The 21,192-nt window shown below is 53.5% G+C and overlaps 1 long non-coding RNA gene across 1 annotated transcript in view, besides 1 other annotated feature; it reads left to right on the top strand.

Annotated features, from left to right (window-relative positions):
- The window catches only part of USP2-AS1 (USP2 antisense RNA 1), a 117,456-nt gene extending 97,012 nt beyond the window's left edge, over nucleotides 1-20,444 (top strand). Inside the window, exon 4 of the long non-coding RNA NR_034160.1 lies at nucleotides 19,761-20,444. This is a non-coding gene — a long non-coding RNA (USP2 antisense RNA 1). The remainder of the gene's footprint in view (nucleotides 1-19,760) is intronic.
- Nucleotides 19,281-20,140: an enhancer, noted in NCBI's record as "H3K4me1 hESC enhancer chr11:119368781-119369640 (GRCh37/hg19 assembly coordinates)". NCBI's record gives its function as "activates a minimal SCP1, AML or CMV promoter by ChIP-STARR-seq in naive H9 embryonic stem cells {active_cell/tissue: H9 hESC(naive)}" and the evidence as "EXISTENCE:reporter gene assay evidence [ECO:0000049][PMID:30033119]".
- Nucleotides 20,445-21,192: the final 748 nt, after the last annotated feature.

Consider the following 21,192-nt stretch of genomic DNA (forward strand, 5'->3'; position numbering starts at 1 on the left):
ACCCCTGTATGTCCAGAGAGTGGGCGAACCGTGTTATGTGGGGAGCACAATGCTGGTGACCCAGGTCTCCACACTCTCAGGCTGTTGGGCCCACTTGACATGGGACCACTGCCCCCTGCCTCCCAGCACCTTTGCTTCCTTCCCGTGGGCCTGATGCTGCCTGGGAATCCTCCTGAATCTCCATAGCCCATTCATTTCCTCTTGCGGTGACATATCTGTTCTGTCCCTGTGCTCTTCCCTGGAGCCTCCATTTCTACTCTCAGCTGATGATGTCACTTCCTGTCTCACTGAGAAAATAGAAGCCACTGGGAGAGAATGTCCATGGTCCCCACCCCCACACCACACACCTGCTTGCATCTGCCTGGGTCTTCTGCTTCCTTCCTGGGCTGAGGCAACCCCTCCACTCTGTATGACCAGATCTTCAAAAAAATACTATTATTGAGATATAACTCATACTCCATGAAATTAACCCCTTTAAAGTGTACAATTTAGTGCTTTTTAGCGTGTTCACAGAGTTGTGTAACATTTACCGCCACCTAATTCCAGAACATTTTCATCCCCACGGGAAACCCCGTTCCTATTAGCAGTCAGTCCTCATTCCCCCTCCCTGGTCCCTGGAGACCACCGATCTATGCTGTCTCTGAAGAAATCTAGTCTCTCCAGACTCACCTGTTCTAGACATTTCATATAAATGGAGTCACACACCATGTGGTCTTTCGCTACTGGCTTCTTTCACTTGGCATTTTGTACTCACGGCTCATCCATGTTGTAGCCTGTATCAGAACTTTGTTCTTTTTTATGGCTGAATAATATTCCATTGGTCAGTTGATAGACATTGGTGTCGTTTCTACTTTTTGGCTCTTACAGACAATGTTGTTATGAATATTTGTGTGCATGTTTTTGTGTGGTTGTATGTTTCTGGTTCTCTTAGGTACATACTTAGGAGTAGAATTGCTGGGTCATATGGTAACTGCAGGTTTAACTTTTAGAAGAACTGCCAAACTGTTATCCAAAGTGGCTGTATCATTTTACATTCCCACCAGCAGGGCCTGGGGGTTCCAGTTTCTCCCCATTCTTGTGATTGCCTGGTGTTCCATTCTAGCCCTCTGGCGGCTGTGAAGTGCATCTCCTCTGGAAGCACAGTCAGATCTTCTCATCTGCTTGAGGACAGCACTCTCATATTTCTCCCTGACCTCTCCTTCAATACGTTTTTCCCTTTGTACCCCAATCACCCGTCAGCATGGAGGCAAGCTCGTATTTTTTCCCGCCTTGAAAAAACTCTCTTGACTCACGGCCCCTCCAGCTAGCTCCCCATCTCTCTTCTCTCTTTTACAGCAAAATCCCACAAAAGAATTGTCTCAACTTGTCTCTGATTTCTCTCTTTTCATTCTCCTTTGAACATACTCTTGTCAGACTTTTGTCCCCACTCTGACCACAATCAAGGTCACCAGTGACCTCTACATTGCTAACCCCAGGGGACCTTTCTCAGCCCTGACTTAAGGATCAGTGGCTTTTTACGTGGTTGGTCGCTTCCTCCTCTTTTCTGACTTGGGTTCCTGGGAGCCCCCCTTCCTGGTGTCCTCTCTTTCGCTGGCTCCTCCTTCTCATTCTCCCCAATTCCTCAACATCTTCCTGATCTGGAAATGTCAGAGGGCCCTGGGGCTCTCTCCTTGGTCCCTTCGCTCTGCTTTCAGAGTGTCTGATATCTCATCCGGTCTCACTCTGAATGTCACCCAAGTGCTGATGACTTGCGGATTGTAGCTCTAGGCAGGGCCTCTCCTCTGAGCTCCACACTCATTTATCAACAGCCCCCGTGACATTTCACCTGACAACTCTGACCGTCAATTCCCAAACGGAACTCCTGACTTCTCCCATTGAGCCTCAGCAAAAGACAGTACTGGGACAGCTTCTTTCTCTACCTAAGGCCAAGGCCTTGGCATCGTCCTTGACTCCTTTCTCTCTTACACCTGGGAGAATCCTGCCATTTTCACCTCCCCACTGTCTTTGCTACCCCAGGGCCAAGGTGCTTGGAGGTTGCAGTGGACTCCTAACTGATGTCTGTTTCCACCCTTGACCCCACGGTCTGTTCTCAACACAGTGCCCAGAGAGATCCTCTTAAAACACAAGCTAGTTACGCCATCCCCCTGCTCAGAGCCCGGCCATGAAGCCCCATGTCATGGAGGCAAAGCCCTCGCCATGGCCCACAGGGTCCTTCAGGGTCTGCCCCCACCCCTGCCCTCTCCAGCCTCCACATAATCCTCAGGGCCTTTTTCTGTTCTTCAGACCCTCCAGGCAGGCCTCGGGCCTTCGCGCTTGCTGTGCCTGCTCTCTGGGATGCCCTAGCTCAGAAGTCTGCTCAACTCTCTCCTCGTCTCCTCCCAGGCTTTACGCAAATGTCACTGCCTGGGTGAGACCGTGTCTGGCCACTTTGTGTAAAACCACAGCCTCCCTGACACTACTCACCGCTTCCGGCTTTATTTTTCTCCTGGGTGCTCATCCCTCTAATACACCGTCTGTTTTACGTGTTGACCTTACTTATGCATTACCTCTTTCCCCCATTAGGATGTAATCTCTGCAAGGGCAGGGCTTTTAGTCTGTTTCTTCACTACTGTATACCCAACCTCTAACATCACTCCTGTCCCAAGGGAGGTGCTGAGTCAATATTTGCTGGATGCCTGATTCAAGGCCTGCGGTCTGGAAGTTCTCCGATGGTGGAGCGGCCCCTACGGCCACGCCGCGGTCGGCCAGGAGGTGGCGCTGTGACTGCAGAAATGGCGGGCTCCGGCTGCCCGGCCTCTTCTCAGGAATGAATGCACCTGGGACTTCCCGCTTCGGAGGCAACGCGCTGCGGGTGGGGGGCGCGGAGGTACGGCCGTGTGCGCCCCCAGGTCAACCTGCTGCCTTTCTCATCTCTGGCAGGACTCCGGGGAACCTGTGCTTATTTCTGGGCTGGTGAGGGTCACCAACACCACCCTGATCCCAGGCCCGGTGACGTCTGTCCGGGGCAGCCTCTGGAAGCCGAGTGGATTTGGTTGGACGCCCGAGTCTTTCCTGGGCCCTGGGACAGGGGTGAGGTTTCCGTGCCCGCCTGCTCTTGCTCTCAGCCATGGGACCTGTCCTGCCCTGGCCTGCATCCAGCTCTGAGCCTCCTCAGCAGCCAGGAGAGGCCCTCGGCTCAGGGCTCCTCACAGCTGGCTTTTGGAGGTGCCAGCGAGGATGCTGCCGTTCCTGGCCCTGCTACTTGTCGGCTGGGTGACCTTGGGCAAGTGCTGAGCCTCAGTGTTGTCATCTGTTCGATGGGAGAGACACGCCTGCCTTGATGGTAGTGGGGAAGGTTAGATACTTGTAAAATCCCATTTGGTTCTGGGCAGGTGCGGAGCAGGTGCCCTTGGCCAGTGCCAGCTCCCATTGAGGCAGTGGGCAGTGCCAGGGCTGGCTGGGCGTTGGGGTCCGACCCAAGGGGCTGCCCCAGGCCCCGCATGTTCATGCATTCACTCCGACACCTGTGCAACGTGGCTCTCAAGGGCCTGGTGCTGTGTAGGGGATTGGGGGAACCATAGGGATGAAAAAGACTTTGCCCCTGCATTCCAGAAGCTGAGAACTAATGGGAGAGACAGGAATAATCCTACGTGAAACAAAGTTAAATAACAAAGATGAGACAAAGCACAAGAGGTGTGGGCAGGCTGCCGGTGATAAATGCCCAGCGAGCAGGACAGATAGGAAGTGCTTCCAGCCCCGCCAGAGAAGCAGTGGGCTGTGTGGTCCAGGGAGGTCACTGCCAGGCTTGGGGCCAGGAGGCAGGCAGAGGTCATGGCCGTGGCTGTGGAGGTAACCAGCCTGCAATGAGGCCCGCTGCGCCTCTTTCCCCCACTGATGTCCTCTCCCCATGGCCTGGTCTTGGGCTGGTTTCCAGAGGCTGCTCCTGACTGTGATCCAGGGTTCAGGCTTTTGAAAGGAAGGGTGGGCTGGAGGGTGTCTGCCGCCTGCCTGGGACTGGGACTGGGGCTGGCACCAGCCGAGGCCCCCTGGAATCTGACCTGGCCCTTGACCAGAGAAGGTTCCAGGGATGGTGCTGTGCATGGACATCGCAGAGCGGGAAGGTGCCCTGAGCCAAGGGCACCTGGACCCACTGAGCATTGGTTGGGGTGGGGATGGGGGAGCTCGTACCACTGGGATGGGAGGTCCTCCCCTGGGAACAGGGGTCAGTTAGGACACTTCTGCTGGACTCTGAAGATGGGGAGCATGATGACGGACGTCACCACCCTGCCCGCAAAGTCCTAGTGTAACTTCTGGGAAACAAAACTGCCAAGAGCCTGTGAAAGCCGCTACATCTAGGGGATGAGAAAAAATGCAGAGGTCGTGGGCACAGTTTCCTGGTGAGACCTCCAGCACCATGTCCAATCAACCTGTGGCCCACTTTCCTCCAATGCATTTTCCAGGTTATGCCCAGGCAGGAAGCTGTCAGGATCTTGGGTTAGCATGGGATGAGTCTTGGGGAGGGTGGAATGGCTCCAACACCCTCCAACCCTTCGCCTTCACAGACCTGTGGCTACCATCCCTGCCAACATCAGTGCAGTGCCCAGCCTGCAGCCAACTTCCTGTGCCAAATCTTAGACCTGCTGCCTCCACCCTTCTCCCCACCTTCCCCCCTCTTTTACCTTGGTCCTGTCAGTTTCCCCGAGGGGGAGATTGAGACAGCTGGGAAGGACCCAGGAGCCCGGGATGCTTCTCATCACCAGAGATCCTGTCCTGCCAATGCTCGCCCCTCCAAGCAGCTGTCTCTGGGTCTCCTTCTGCCGGGGAAGCTGTCATCTTGGGTGGCCCGGCAGGGCACTGGGCAGAGAGGCCCAGGCTGGTCCTGGAGGGTCTGCTGCCTCTGCCCCTCCCGCCTGTCTGGACTTGGTGCTCAGCTCTGCCCATGTTTCTGGTGTGGCCCAGCTGCCTGCCTGGTACAGAGGACTACTGCTGGGTCTGTGGCTGGGACACGCACCCTCCCTCATGGCACCCTCCCTCATGGCACAAAGCACAGCGAGCGCTCACTTAGATTAATTAATCTGCTGCCCAGCCTGCTCCTCCGACCCGCTTTTTTATTCATGGACAAGCAGCGCTTTCTGCTTTACCAGGACTCAGGCATCAATATTTCATCCTTGCTTCGCATGCCAGCTTCCTGCTCCCTCCCTCCCGCCTCCTGCGGCTCTAGGACCCACAAGGTGCTAGGTCCTGGGGCACACTGGCCGCGCCTGGCTCAGCCTGGATGCCAGGAGGGCCTCTTAGGCCTCTCGACTGCCTTCCATGCACCAGAAGCCTTTCTGAGTCAGCAAGCTGAGGAAGCAAGGCAGAGTGGCTGGGCATGGAGGAGGGGGTCCCAGGAATCTGAGGGGTGTGGGGGGTCCTAGTCTGGGGGAGGCTGGGGCTGGCTGGCCCAGTCCTGCCTTGGTGTTGCTGGGTTGTCAGGATCAGAGCTGAGGGCTGCGAAGTGCCAGGCACAGGTCCTGCACAGAGTCCTTCCCCTTTCCACCACAGTGTCTTGGCCAGTGTTCGTAACCCAGGTCTGTGGAGGGCCTTCTGGAGGGTCATGAGCCCTGGAAACACAAAACCAAATGTGATGTGTGTGCATGTGTGCAAGAGTGAGTGTGTGTGAGTGTGAGTGTGAGAGAGAATGGGGGTGAGGATCCTTGGCTTTCACCAAGTTCTCAGCAGGGTCTATGAGCCATAAACGGTCATAAGCCACGTGATTCTAGGCAGGCCCAGCCTCCTCTTTTTAACATGGAAGGAAGAGAATTAATGGGGTTACTCACCCAGGGAGCCCCAAGGAGTAAGTGTGCGTGGCAATATGGGCGTTATGGGGGTGCAAATACACACCCTTGTGTGTGGGTGTGACTGTGTGTATGTGAGTATGAAAGCACGTATAAATGTATGAGTGTGAATGTGAGGATGCAAAATTGTATGTGTGTGAGCATTTCGAGTGTATGAGGGCGTGTGAGCGGCTGTGTGTGAGAGTGCGTGTGTATGAGTGTGTGTGCATGTGTGAGCATGTGTGTGTGTTGTGTGGTGGCACTGGGGTCACAGACACACATTGCTGTCCTGTGCTGGAGGAGCCCAGCACAGAGCTAATGAGGCAGTGACACCTGGGCGCTGGGGACAGGTTGGGCCTCCCTTCCCAGGCTGGCAGTGCTCACATCTCCGCGGGGGGTCTGTGGTCAGAGGGTGCCAGCTGGGCTGAGATGAAAACTGGGGAACTGCTCTGGCCTGGGCTGTGCTGGGCAGGAGTGGGGACAGGGGTAAGGGGTGTGGGGAGGCAGCTGCAGCAAACTCCCCTTTGCGCTTAGTGTGGAAGCTTCGTGAGGGCACCGTGAAGCACTGCACTCCCCGCCTTTCCTCACACCCTATTCCCCATCAGCCAGGAAGTCCTGCCGCCAACCCTCCAAATACATCCAGAGCCCAACCAAACCCGCCCTGCCTCGGGTCCCTCCATGGCCCCTGCAGTCCCTGCTTAGCACAGAGGCTCCGTCTTGCCTCTGCTCCCAGGAAAGCCAGGCTCTCAACTGCCCGGAGCCCAGACTGCTGCCCTGCAGCCCTCCCCACTGCCTGCACCTCGCTCAGGCGTGCCAGCCATCCCTACCGCACATGCCTGCACACCCGCACACCCACACACTCACACACCTGCACTACCCGCAGGCTCCCCCAGGGGCCTCTGCATTTTTCTTTCCTCACATGGCTGCCTGGCTCCCTCCCTCACCTCCTGCAAGTCTGCTGCCTGACCCTGTCCCTTTTATTTCCCTCCATGGCATGCATGACCTTCTCACACCCCAGCCCATTGCTCGTCTGTGTTATTGCACTGTCTTCTGCCAACACAACAAAAGCTCCCTGAGGGCAGGAATTTTTATGTTTTGTCCACTGATTCATCCTAGAGCAGTGCGCACTGGGAAGGGCTCAACACATATTGGAGGGTAAATGAATGGGTGAATGAATAAATGAATGGATGAATTGCCCATCCCATTCATCAGTGGCCTGTTTGGAACTACCCATGGGGGATGTATTTTTTTCCTCAGGCTTAAGGGCTAATAAAACCTTAGCTGTGTTGAAAAGCTGGTGTTCATTCATCAATGATTCGATATAGTTACTGTGCACCTACTGTGTGCTGGGCACTGTCCTCGCTGCTGGTAGAGGGTAATGAACACGCAAGTAAACACCACTCCTTTCTCCCAGGGAGCGTTTGTCTCTTGGATTCTGAGGACCTTGTCACTGCTTTCCTTTCTGTGGTCACTGCCCCCATGTTCAGAGCCAATTTTCTGAAATGTTCTGAGTACAAAAACATCCCCTCTGATCTCACCTCATTATTCTATGCTTCTTCTCCCTGTGTCTTGGTTGTTTTTGACAGAAAAGGGAAATTCATGACGAGCATGTGGAGCCCTTGGTGGCCCAGTGCAGGCCTGGGGAGCTGCCGGGTTGAGGCGCCTTGTTTCTCTCTGGAACCTCTCGGTCGCTAGCTCTGTCCCTTCACTCTGTCTCTGGGTCTTTGGCCACTGCCTCCTCCTTTCCTCCCTTCCTGGACCTTGCTTTCCCTCTCACTTTGGCGTGAAGATGAGGCCCCACCAGTCTTGGCTTTGATTGAACATCATCCATTTATGTGTTACATCTTATCATATTATATGCATACTTTTACATGATTTTCAAAATCTTTAGGGCAGCAAAATATGCCTAAATGACTGCTTATTAGGATGCATGCCCAGTGCAACCGTGTGTGTTAGGGGAGGGGGGTAGGCGCTGGCTCTGTCTGGAGAATTCCCCCCTCCCCAGTACAGATGGAACATATCCTGGAGAAGAAGCTTGAGGTGACAGAAGTCTTGCATTACAGGGGAGGTCCCTTGCTGCTGCTGCCCCGATAGACCCCTTGGTTAACAGTCCATGTGACTTGCTCAGCCACAGCCTAGCATTGCTGGGTCTAGATACACTCTTGTTGACAGGTTGGTGAACCTGTCATCTCCTGGTTAGCTCTCCCCTCCCTGGCCCCGTCAGCCAGGCTTGAACTTCCTGGTCTCATTCCCAAGTGATGTCACTGGTCCTTTTGTCCTTGGCTCCCTGTGACTGTCCAGTGGCTGAGGTGACCCTGCAATCTGAAGCTTGGTGCCAGGAAAAGGGATGGATGGGGGTAAGGGAAACAAGGGCAACTGGCACAGAGAGCCAGAGATGGGACACACTCAAGAGGGAGATTGGGAGGCTCCGGGGTGGGGTGGGAGGAACCAGGAGACTAACAGCCAAGCAGCCCTGTGTCCCAGGGTACCCAGTCCACACCCCCTCCTTCAGCACCACAGCCTTGAACAGCATGGACTATAGGTGTTATGTTGGGTGTCGGGGGAGAGGGGTGTGATAGACAGAGAAGGTGATTTTGACCTGAAAGTCAGGGCAGAGACATCCCCATCCTCACTGTGGGTCCTGGGTCTGGGGTTCTTATTCTGACAATTAGCCCCCCATTTATTCCTTGTCCCACAACTCCCACAAGGTACATTCTGGTTCAGGAAGAGGAGTCAGTGGGAGGAGAAGTAGCTCCCTCGGTGTCGTGGCTGAGGCTGTAAGGGGCAGAGGCTAACTAGTCACATGCCTTTGAATGCCTTAAGCCACCTCTCTGTGCCTCAGCTTTTCCATCTGCACACTGGAGATGATAACAGTACCTGTCTTAGAGGATGGTAAGTATTAAATGAGTTAACAAGAGAAAGAATTTAGCAGAGTCCTGCACATAGTCAGCCACAGCATCAGAGTGGCTAGCAAATGACAATAATAGTGGCTAACCTGTGCAGGCTAACTGTGTGCAGGTTAGCACACAGCCTGCACAAGTTGGCCACTATTATTGTCATTTGAGGAATTCTAGAAGCTCTCCTCAACCCCGTGTCTCCTCCACACATGCACAGCCTGAAATTCCTCCTGCACTTATCTCTTGGGGTGATAATTGTATTAGTCCATTTTCATACTGCTATAAAGAACTGTCCAAGACTGGGTAATTTATAAAGGAAAGAGGCTTAACTGCCTCACAGTTCCGCATGGCTGGGGAGGCCTCAGGAAACTTACAATCGTGGTGGAAGGTGAAGGGGAAGCAAGCACCTTCTTCACAAGGTGGCAGGAAGAAGAAGCTCAGCCAAGGGGAAGAGCCCCTTATAAAACCATCAGATCTCATAAGAACTCATTATCATGATACCAGCATGGGGGAAACTGATCCCACTATTCAGTTACCTCCACCTGTTTTCTCCTTGACATGTGGGGATTACGGGGATTACAATTCAAGATGAGATTTGGGTGGGGACACAAAGCCTAACCATATCAATAGTTCTTCAAAGGTACCTTTAACAAAACTCAGACTAGCACCTGACAACACAGTGTGAACAGGGTTAAGAACAGGGATTTGAGGTCTCGGCCGCTGTGTGCCTTTAGGCAGTTCCATGGCCTCCCTGAGCTTTGATCCCTTCTCTTTAGATGAAATGACAATAGACTCTCCTGGAAGATTCTTGTGAAGACAAAATGAGATTACACACTTAAGCACTCAGCACAGGGCATGGCACGGCATGAGTGGTCAGCAAACAGCAGCCTGCACTCTTTACAAGGCGCCTGCACCTGCATCATCCCATCTGATCCTGGCCCCAACTCTGGAGGTGGCCTCACTTCTGGGTGAGACGACTGAAGCAGAGAGAGCAGTGGCATTCTGAGCAGGGCTGGAGCTCGGGCCCCCTGACTCAGGCTGGTGCTTTCTTGAAGGGGTGACCTTCAGAGGCCTGGCACAGGTGGCATAGATGGAGCATTAGATGTCCTGGATGTCTTGCCTCTGACCTGAGACCTGTAGGGACCTGGAGGCAATGGAGGACATTCCTGGAGGGAGAGGGGCATCAGGAGACAAAGTGAGGCTCCTACTTCACAGGTTTGCCTGACTCTCTCTAGCCACAGGCTCCCCCTGTCCCCCAAGTCTGCCCTCTCCTGCAGCTCCCCGGACCTGGCCTCTGGGCTTATGGAGCCCTGGAGTACAGCCTGTCCGCAGGAATGGAGCCGGTGCTGCCCTAGCCCAGCTGATGCCTTCAGGCCTCTGCAGACCTCAGGAGGGAGAAAGGCTGACCAACGAGGGGGTCCGCTTTCTACTGTTCTCATTTTTTACTGAAATTGCAAGAGAGAGAGGTGGGGGAGGGGCAAGACAAGTAAAAAATAGTCTCATTTGGACTGAGCAGGGGAGAAAGCAATTTCCTTCTGAAATCTCTTCCTGATTCTTGAAGGATGTAATTTGGAAATGTCCTGGTGGCTCTGGCTGGAGTGTGGGCCAGACCACCCATAAGGCATGGAGTGGGGACCTACGGGTGGGGAGCAGGGAAGGCCAGTAGGAAAGGAGACAAAGGTCTTGCTGATGGTTTCAGCCCAAGCCTCAAGGACAGGCCAGCCAGGGGAGATGTGGTAAGAAGGACTGTCACAGCACAGAGGACAGCTGAAGAGTGAGGTGGCAGAGACTGACTTGAGAGAGGAAGAGGATCTGGGGGTCCTGATGGACCAGGGTGGGGGGGATACACTGGGAAGAATTCTAAGCCCGGCTGGGGTAGGAGGGTGGCCCAGTACCTAAGAGAGGTCCATGCTCTGGGGTCTGTATCTCGGGAGATTTCATGGGGCAAAGGCAGAAATCCATCCTGAAGGACTATGCATCCTTAAGTTTCTTTGCTGGAAAGTCATCTGGGTGCTGGGCAATCTGGCGGCAACTTGGAGGCTTATTCAGAGCCTGCAGGAGAAGCAGGGCCCTGGTACGGGGTGGTAAAGGGGCACAGGGGAGGCTTGACATGCCCAGGGTTCCTCTGCTTGTCGTCCTTTGGAGTCACGCTCCAAGTTCCTCCACAGCCTCTTCTGCAGCCCTGCCACCTTCCAAGCCGCCATGGTGTGGCTCTGAGGGTCCCAGCTTGGGGAGCAGCATTGGCCCTATGAGAGGGCAGAAATGGAGACTGAGACCCACCAGCACTTTAGGGGCCTCCCTGGGACTCGTCCTTCCCTCTGACATGATGCTAACTCCATGTCCTGAAGCATCAGCTCATCACCCCATCCTTCAACTAACCCATCAACCAGCCAAGTACACCAACCAACAAGCCAAGCCACACCCCACTCACCAATCCATCAGCCACCACTCTACCTGTTACCCTACACCCTGCCATGCCACCAACTCAGCAACCTTCTAAGCAACATACCAATTCACCAACCAGATAATCTACCAACCGGCCTATTCTTCCACCATCTAACCACCCCACTAACCAGCCTATCAGCCAACTCACCAACCAACTCATTACCACACTGTCCAATCAGGAGATAGAAGCTACACAGTGCTGTGAACAGAAAGCTTTAATATAAAGAATTATTAACTATAACAGGAAATCACCCACTAAGCATGACAGGAGATCATCCAATAACCATGACAGGAGATCGCCCACTAACCGTGACAGGAGATTGCCCAATAACCGTGACAGGAGATCGCCCACTAACCGTGACAGGAGATCACCCACTAACCGTGACAGGAGATCGCCCACTAACCGTGACAGGAGATCGCCCACTAACCATGACAGGAGATCGCCCACTAACTGTGACAGGAGATCTCCTAGTAACCATAATAGGAGATTGCCTAGTAACCATAACAGGAGATCACCTAGTAGCTATGACAGGAGATCACCCAGTAACCATGACAGGAGATCACCCACTAACCATGACAGGAGATCGCCCACTAACCATAACAGGAGATTGCCTAGTAACTATAACAGGAGATCGCCTAGTAGCTATGACAGGAGATCACCCAGTAACCGTGACAGGAGATCGCCCACTAACCATGACAGGAGATCACCCACTAACCATGACAGGGGATCACCCACTAACCATGACAGGAGATCGCCTACCTAAGGAACACTTCTACCTCTAGGGCTGAGGCCGAGCATCGAAGGCAGGAAGAAACCTGGAAGCGTCTTCCCGCAACCCCAACACCCAGGGCTGAGACCCAAACCTTGTTAGAGATGGTACAGCCGAGGCGCCCTGGCTGCAGGAAAGTTTGCTGAAGTGCCGGTGTGGGTGGAACTCTCTGGCAGGCCACTCTCTGGGCTGCTGCAGGAGGCTGGATGCTGCGGGACACCTCACTGAGGAGCCTGCAAGAGAAGCCCTTCCTCGTCCTGTGCTGCTCCTCCAGCACCGTCTCCTGGGAAAGCCGAACATGGAGCCAGCTGGTTAAAGAGAAATATCGACAGGGTCTAGCTCCACGATCACAGACCAGACCCCGGAGAGTACATGTGAAGCTGAGACGCAATTCAGTAATAACTGGCACACCTGTTCTCTTGCTTCCCCACCAACTCTGCAACCCACTAACCAATATGCCACTCATCCACCAACCAACCAATCAGCTAACAAGCCTACCCTTCCACCATTTCATCACCCCACCAACTGCAGTCCTCTGACCAGAATACCCATCTACCTACCTACCTGCTACCCCAGCAACCCAGTTTTCTTGAATGTTCCAGGCACTGTGCTGAGGGCAGTGAGGAATACAGCAGTGAAAGGGAAGTCTGCACCCTGAAGGAGTGACACTCATTTATTCAAATTGGGCAACATATGCAACCTATGCCTATGATTTACTGTGGGCCAATAAGGCCCTGTTTCACGCAGGTGACATCCATTAAATGGACAAACAGTGGGCAGACAGCATGCTCTGAAGCTAGTGGTGGGAGAGATCACTATGGCCTGATGGTAGAGAGCAGCCTCGTGGAGGAGGGAAGTGATCTGGGCATTGAAGAATGAGCAGAGTAGAGATTCCAATTTGGAAAAGGAAAAGAAAGGCACGGGGGCAGTGAATGTCTAGGTATCTACTGTGTGCCGAAGGAGGACTCGGCACAGGGAGACTTCTGCACAAGAAGGGCTCACCATCCTGGGGGCGCCACAGGCCCCAGCTGCACGGGCCTGCAGGGAGCACACGTCCATCTCATCCGTGACAGGCAAGAGCTATCACACCCCTAGGAGAGGCTGATCCTATCATCAGCTTCTTTCTCAGGCAGTGAAGGGGCTCCTCCTTTTCATCAAGGGCTAAACTACAATTTTGAAAAAAAAAAAAAAAGGCTCACCCAGCATCAAGCAGACATCAGAAAGAACTTCCAGTCCAGACCAGCAGGAGGCTCAGGAATGCGATACTTCCAACTGTCTGGGGTGCCTGAAATATTGACCTGCTCAGAGGCAGGGGAATATCCGCAATGACCCTTCCTCACCCTGTTGTTAAAGGGCTCCTTGTGGCCCAGGTCCACCTGCTCCCAGGCTTCCATCAGCCCAAGTGCCATTAAGTATCTCGGAATAAAAATCTGACTTCAGAATCAATTGATGGAGAGAGGTTCTCCAAACATTCGCTGGTGAAGGTAATTAAATTCCAATCGGAGAAGATGGAGCTGTGTGACGGGGCGGTGGGGGCAGCGGCTGGCACCTGGCTGCTGAGCAATGAAATCACGGGCGTGCGCAGCCCAGAGCTGGCAGCGGCACAAAGGAAATTGGAGCAGTCAAATATTTCCCTCCTCGTTGAGTTCCATTTACATGTTTATAATAGAGGTTCTTAAGGCCCTAATGAGAAGGCTGCTCATTGCAGGCAAGAGGATGATTAAGGCTCTGCCAGACGAGATCAGGGACAGGAACAAAGGCCTGTTAATTACTACAGAGGGACAGGAGGAGCGCCAGGCTCCAGCTCGCTGCTCCCCCAGAGCCTCCCAGCCTGGTGCCTTCTGGTTCGCTGAGGCTGCCTCACCTTTGCTCCCAACCCAGGTGACCTCCCGGGGCGGGCTAGATTCCCCAGAGCTGGAGTCAGGGGTTCAGGGACCATTTCCACTTTCCCTCCCTAGGGGGTGATTTCAGGCAGTACCCCTGGCACATGCAGATTTGTCCTCTGAAGGTGCCCTGTTGGGGGAAATGGCTCAGAGGAAGCCACGCTGCTGAACTGCTTGGCCACCGCCTGAACCATGAGGTTCACCTGCCCACCAGGGGGGTTGCTCACTTGAGCTTCCAAGCCCTAGAGGGAGGACCACCCTGGGCGGATGACAAAGCCCCTCTTCCCAGCCTTCAGCATCCAAGAGACACAGTTATACCTGTGGAGACCCAGGCCAGAATTAGTGATGGATGATGTCATCTGGTACAAAGGCAGAGGGTTCTTGCCAAGTTGATTTTAAGGCCTTTCTAACAACCGGAGTTCATGGTATGGTGGAAAAAGTAAAGGTTTTGTGTCAACAGGCTTAGGGTCAGGCAGACTTGGTCTCAAATCCCAGGTATTCTGTTTGCTAATGAGGTGCCCTGGACAGGTTATTAACTTCTCTGAGCCTCAGTCTCTTCATCAGTTAAAAGGGGGTAATCTCACCTACTACACTCGGGCTGGTTTTATGATGCAATGAGATAATGTTGACTAGGTCTGGCACAAAGTAGGTGGTCAGTTCACATTGGTGACCTTGTCCCCTATTCTGAGGGGCTGGGTTGGTATGCTTTGGAAGTCCTGCCTATCTATGACCTGCAGGACATGGGGCTGAGTGTGGGCAGTATCTGATTTCCTTCAGCCTGTCGCTGCTCCGTAGCACCTCTTCTTGTGACATGGCATCTGGCAATATTGAAGGGAAAGAGGAGATTGTCTGGCCAGGGCTGGGAGGAAATCAGACTCTGTGCACTGCTTGCCCAAGTGCCCCTCACCTGTGTCCCACTCTACCTCTGAGGGCTCCAGAGATGAGGGGAAGATGCGAGGAGGGAGAGAAGAGTCATGTTTGAGGAGCTCCCTGATTTCTCTATGAGAAAGAAAAATCAGAGAAATAAGTTATGCCATGCAAAGTGGAGTGAATCTGGTAGTCAAGGGTTGAATTTGAAGAACTTTGATTTTTAGGAAAATGGTCATCTTGTAAAGGCCCAAACCAGAGCTTTCTCAACTAGAATCCGATTTTAGGCCCAGGGGATATAGGGTCTAAGAGGAGAATGATTCTGCGGTTAACACAAAGACCCAAAGATGAGAGACCCCCAACTCCCTGGAGGATATGGTGCCATCTTGGTCTTCCCGGGGTCAGTGTTGGCAGCTGGGAACATCTCAGTGGCTTCTTGGCTTACTAAGGTGCTTCCCTTGGAGCTGTCCACGGTGCTGGCCTCAGAGCCTATCTGGCCCTGGCTGCCTGGCCACACCTACCTCTCCAGCTGGCTGTCAGGCCTGTCACCTGCAGAGCTTCTGCCCCAGCCCACAGCACTGAACCTTGCTGCAAGCCCCAGGATTTTCAGACACACCTAATGCTAAGATGCATTTTAGCTTGAGCCTTAGGGCTAACAATAACCTAGTCCCTAGAGTCCACCTTAAACAGAACTCTCACCAGAATCTAGACTTGAATCCATATCAATCTGAAGTACAGCTCGAATCATCATCCCTTCCTTAATATGAATCTTAAACCCTATTCTCATTTCTAGTCTCCAATCGAGTACTGGTCTGAAGTTCACCTCTTACCCTAACTTCCGAATGAACCTGAGCCCTAAAGACTTGATCTTGGGCAAAGGATTGGCCCATCCCCTCTTCTCTCCCTCCTTATGAATGTGGCAGAGCCTCTGTGGTGAGCGCTGTGGGTAGAGAGATGTGTCCTGTGCTGCCCCTGCTCTCCAGGAACTTGGCTGTGTGCCCCTACCGCCCTCACCATCAGACAAATTCATGTCAGTGTCAGCATTGACGATATTCTCCCAAGAGGGAAAGTCTTTAGAGAAGATGTCATCATCATTTACAAGGCAAAACATAGAGGTGGGCCATGGAGAGCTCTGAATTCTTCCCACTGTGCACCACCTGCCGAGAGGCTCTGGCTCCTGCCTCCTGTGCCTTTGGTCCACGCTGCATGCTGGTGTGGGTGGGGAGTGAAGAGTGGAGGAAACTTTCATAGGGGCAAGGCCCACCTGTCTCTGTGGAATATGATTCACATAGTTGTAGGTAGATGCTGAGGAGGCCCGGGTAGCACAGGAAGTACCAGACCCTGAGCACCTACCATTACCAGGCCCCTCGCTGACCTTCACAACACTCACTGAGCGGGGCTGAGGAAGCCGAAGGGCCTTTGTATCCATTACAAAGATAACAGGTAGAAGAGCTGGGAATGAAATACAAGTCCTGTGGCTGCTGAGTCCTAGAGGCTGGGGACGGTGAGGGGAGAGGCTTTCTAAAGGAGGTGAGGTGCAGGCGGTGGGGACACAGGCAGTGTGGGGTGCAGTGTCAGGAGGGATGAGTGGGGGTTGAGGTGAGAGGTGAGGAAGAGAGGTTGACCAAGGCTGGGAGATGCAGATGGGATGGGGATGGCCCCATAGGCTGGTCTGGACTTTCCCTGTGCCCAAGGCCAGACACTGGGGAAAGCTCAGGGAGAGAAGAGAACTTGCAAAGCGGAGTCACATTCTTCTCTCCCATGGCGGGTTCCTCCTGAGGGGCCTGCTCTTGTGAGATGACATGAAGAAGGGGAATGGGGAGAATGGCGGCCAGGAGAAGACATATGACATTCCCCAGGGTCAATGGTGCGGCCCGTGTGTCTATCTACTGGCCCTCCACTCCTCCTGCGCCACTTTCTTCCTTCCCCACAGCCACCATCCTAGTCCAGGCCATGCCCGGCCACTGGCTGCAGCCTCCATTGCCTCCCTTCTCCATCCTTTGGGTCCTCTGCCCACAGCCAGAGGGACCTGCCTGAGGCCCTCATGAGGACCCTCCTCCCCAAGAAGATGGGCTGCTCCCTCTTTCCTGCCAAATTCCACTCGCCTCTCCTCCTTGGCTTTCTGTCACTTGTAGCTGTGGCAAACTTGTCCTAGCTGGGACACTGATGAGGAAGGCAGTGCTGTGGATGATGATGAGGGCAGCAGGCATGATGCCAGGATGCCCCCTGACTCCTGCCTCCTCTCCAGCCGACCCCCCAGGATTTCCCAAAACCTCCCTCAGCTCCTCCAGATCCTGCCAACTGCTAGGCTCAGGCCCTCCCACAGCTTCCCCGGCCTGGAAAGGGCGCTAGAATGGGAGTCAGAGGAACCGAGCCCAGTTCCTTATTGACTGCCCTGAAGCCTGGGATAGGGCGCCTCTCCTCTCTACTGTCTCCCCTGTAAAATGGGGATAATCCCTCCTGCTCCACTCTTCTCCCAACGAGAGGGAGAATATGACAGCACTTGGTAAGTAACTGCACTGCATAAAGAGGCCTGCTGGAGTTACTGGCCCCCATTCATGCCTACATTTTGGCCCCATTATTTACATTTAGTTTTATTCCCCTCCTCCTCCTGGAGTCTCTGTTCCCTGCCACGGGGTGTGCAGCTCGCACCCTCTGTGGCCTCCAGCATTCTCTGGCTGAGCCTGCTGCCTGCCACTGATCAGGCCCGTGCAGGGAAGGTGGTGGCTTTCTTCCCTGCCAGTCTTAGCACAGTCCTGGGCTCCCAGGGGACCTCCGTCTAGTTGACTCGATATTGACTGAACCCAGCTTTAGATCAATGGTTCTCAAGCTGAAGCATGTATCAGAATTGCCTGGTGAGCTCATTAAACCCCAAATTGCTGGTTCCCTCCCCAGTTTCTGATTCTAGAAGTCTGGGTGGAGCCTGAGGATCTGCATTTCTGACAAGTTCTCAGGTGATGCTGATGCTGCTGGTCCAGAAACCACACTTTGAGAACCACTGTTGTTCTCAGCGAAAACCTGGATGGCCCTGCCAGGAAGTCTTCTGTCTAAGTGGGCTTAGATGAGATGGCCTTATGGGGCGGATGTGTGTGTGGAGGGGCCTGGGTCCGTGGCACCCCAGACACCAGGAAGTGAGTGCCTCTTGCCTAGAGGCAGAAGCAGCATTGAATGTCCTGAGTCAGAGCTGCGACATCTGAGTTTAATCTGTGTGGAGCAATTCAAGGGAGGGAGCCAAGGGTGGGGGGAGCGGGAGCTGGGAAGGCGGCTGCATATTTCATACTGTTCCCAGCTTTGAAGGTCCAGGGAAAGCGTGTGGCAGTCGGTGACAGCTTCATCGTAATGAGGGATGGGGAGATGCACCCTGCTTGGGGTGAGGCGCTCATCAGATGGGTGGAAGGATGGTCAGGGAGGGGCAGGGGAGGTGGTGGTAGGTGTAGATGGGAAGTGGTGGTGGGGGAGGGTAGAATCTGTAGTGTGGGCCCCTCCTCTAGACTCATCCCCATCTCCCCAGCATATATGGGTGGTGATGAGATTCCTGGAGGGTTTTCAGATGCAGTCTTTAAGGGCCTGTATCCATCCCCAAGGTCACACCTGGAATATCCTCTCCCTCCAAAGAGGTATCTCAACATCAGCAGAAGCTCTAGCAGGGCAAAGCCCCACTGTTCCTGAAACTGTCCCCAACTGGACCCTGGTGGTATCTGAAGCCTCTGAACTGCATGAGAATAGGGCTCATTACCATTCAGCCTCAGATCTGCACCCTGTTTGCCCTTCCTGTTCCATCCCCCCATCCCCGACCTCCCACCAGCAGGGGCCAAGGCCATTTCTAAAGAGTTTATAATCGAGGGCTTAGGAGGAGTCTCTGGACATTCTAAAAAGGCCTCCTCCTTTCTCTTAGTTTTGGGCCCCACCTGTGGTACAGCCCTGATGTAGGAATTTAGAATTCCAGATCTATGGCAATGGAGGAGTTGGGGACACACTGCTCAGTGGCAGGGTTGACTGGGGGACAATTTCTGGGACCAGAAAGGGGGTGCGCACAGGCTGAGTGCCCCCTGTTTACAGCCTCAAAGGGCTCTCAGCACCCAAGTTGGTTGTATTGACAAACATGCCCCTTCTGGGCTCAGCAGGGATCCAGGCCAGCCTTGGAGGAGTCACAGAACCATTTAGAGTCGGTGACCAGTTTCCTTACAGACAGCGGGGTATGCACAGAGGGATACCTGGCAGGAGTCACACAGACTTTGCTGCTCCGGGGCTGCCCAGCCCTGCCCCATGATCAGGGCTGCATTTGCTCTTCAGAGGCCTTTGCCAACACAGGGTGAGCGGGACCCTGGAAGGTGAGAAGGGAGGATGGCAGTGCAGCCCGGCTTCCCTCAGACAGACCCGGGCCCAGCCCTGGCTTTGCCTCCTAGTTTCTAAGGATGCGACCTTGGGCAAGTCATGTGGCTTTTCAGAGCCTCAGTTTGCTCATCCTTAAAATGGGAACAATTGTATCAATTTTGCGGGGCTGATATGAGATGACATATGGACAGCACTGAGCACAGTGCCTGGCACTGGTCCGCTCTCAATAACAGCATGTGCAGACCTGGGGCGGGAGGCATCCAAAGCTGCTTAGGGCCTCCCCCTCCCCAGGGCCTCCTCCCTCCATCCCAGACCTGGTGGAACCAAGAACCGGCCTTGAGCCCCCTCCCTCAGAGTGGCTGGAGTGAACATTCAATCCTGATTAGCTCCACCGGGCTCCGTCGTAACCTTTTCATTAGGAAATTATGTTTAATAGAAATTGTTCTGACACCTCTCAGCAGCGTTTCCCTGCAATTCATTACCACTGGGGAGGGGGCAGGTGGCAGAGCGGCTCTGGGGCCCAGCTCCTTGGGGGAGGGGCCGGCCCTCTCCCTGCCGCTTTCCTGGTTCAGCCTTTGCTATATGGGTGGAAGGGATGCAGGACAGAGGTGTTCCTGCTTGGCTTCCCCACAGAGAGGCAGGCCAGCTGTTGAAGCACATCTGGATGGGGCCAGTCACTCTCAGCACCCTCCCCTGGGTCCGATTTGGGACTACCCAGCTGTTGCCAGTGATGCTCATGTGTTAATGGCACTCTCTATTCTTGTTTAGTCCTCACTGTCCCCAGAAGGAAGAGAGGCACACAGCGCTCCCCAGCCGCTGGAATCCAGGAAGAATTGAGGTGCTCAAGACCCACCACCTCTTTGCCTGCAAACTCTAAGCTCACTGTCCTGCTCCCTTGCTCCCAGAAGTGGCACTGGATGGATCCCATCCAGGTCAGCCCAGGCTGTCATTTCCTCCCCTTCTGTACCTAATCTCAGCGAGATGAAGAGTTTACACCTGTTTCTCACTTGAATTAGGGAAGTCTAGTTTGCATTCTCCTGACTGGATGGGCCTGCATTGAATCTTTCATCTCATTGGTCTGGGGATTTGGTTCTGAAGACCAATGCCTTCCAGAATCTTCCTGTCTCTCCCCAAATTCTGGGCGGTTCTGTTTCCAGCACTCATCCATGATGGGGGGGTACAGGAAATGAGTGTTGAGGGAAAGGCATCCCACCTTCTCTCTGTTCCATCTTCCAGATCTGACAACTCACTGGAAAGTTCTTCTCTGTGTCCCTGTCCCCCGTCTGGTTCTGAGGCCGCTGCTTTCCCCAGCCTTGGTGCCTTGGGTTTTCTGCTCTGTGAAATGAACCAGGTCCCTTATCCTGTTCTCCCCTGAAGAAAAGAGGGTGTGGGGGGCTTGGCACAGGAAATGGCCCTTGCCTTTCACAGGCTTTGGGGTCTGAGGGCAGCTCTGATGCCCCAGCATGCTTTTCCAACCCAACAACTGGGGAGACCCGCTTGCCATTTTACCACCCAGTATCTGAAATTAGCAGCCGCCTAATCTCTCTCTGCCATATCACTCAATGGTTTAATTGTGCAGAAAAAAATGTATTAAAATGCAAAGCACTCAGTTGTACTTCTTTATGTTAAATCCCTTCTTCGCTCTATCTCCCTTTTAATTTTACAAGGTTTTTTCTCTTTCCCCCTTTCATAAAGGGGAGAACTGGGCACGCAGGGAATCATTTCAACTCCCCTATAAATCTCCAAAATGAATACTTAAATTCGAGGAAAAAATACATTCTTACACCTTTAATTTCCCTGCTATGAAGTGTAATGAAAAAGCCTGATTATTTTTAATTCTTCCCTTTAATAATTCAGCAGCGGAGTGATTTAAGACTAGGATTCATAATTACCTTTCCGCTTTCTTGGCAAATGGAGTTTTAATAGAAATGAGAGCTCTGGCGACTGAAATGGATTTCAACAGGTCGCTGGGGGGTCAGGTTCAACACCAATTGGTGGAAGAGTGTTCCTAAGGCCCCTCAGGTGTGGGGTCTGGACTGGTTACCTGGGCCCACGTGGACAGAGGAAGTATATCACCTTGTGCTCACTGGGAACCATCTGTTGTAATAGTAACAGAAGGTCACAGTGTGGGTGCCTAATGACCCATTTATCCTAGAAGGAAGAAACTAGTGAAAAATGGCCATCAGGACAGTCTTCACGA

Source organism: Homo sapiens, chromosome 11, assembly GCF_000001405.40.
Source record: "Homo sapiens chromosome 11, GRCh38.p14 Primary Assembly".
Classification (NCBI taxonomy): Eukaryota; Metazoa; Chordata; class Mammalia; order Primates; family Hominidae; genus Homo; species Homo sapiens.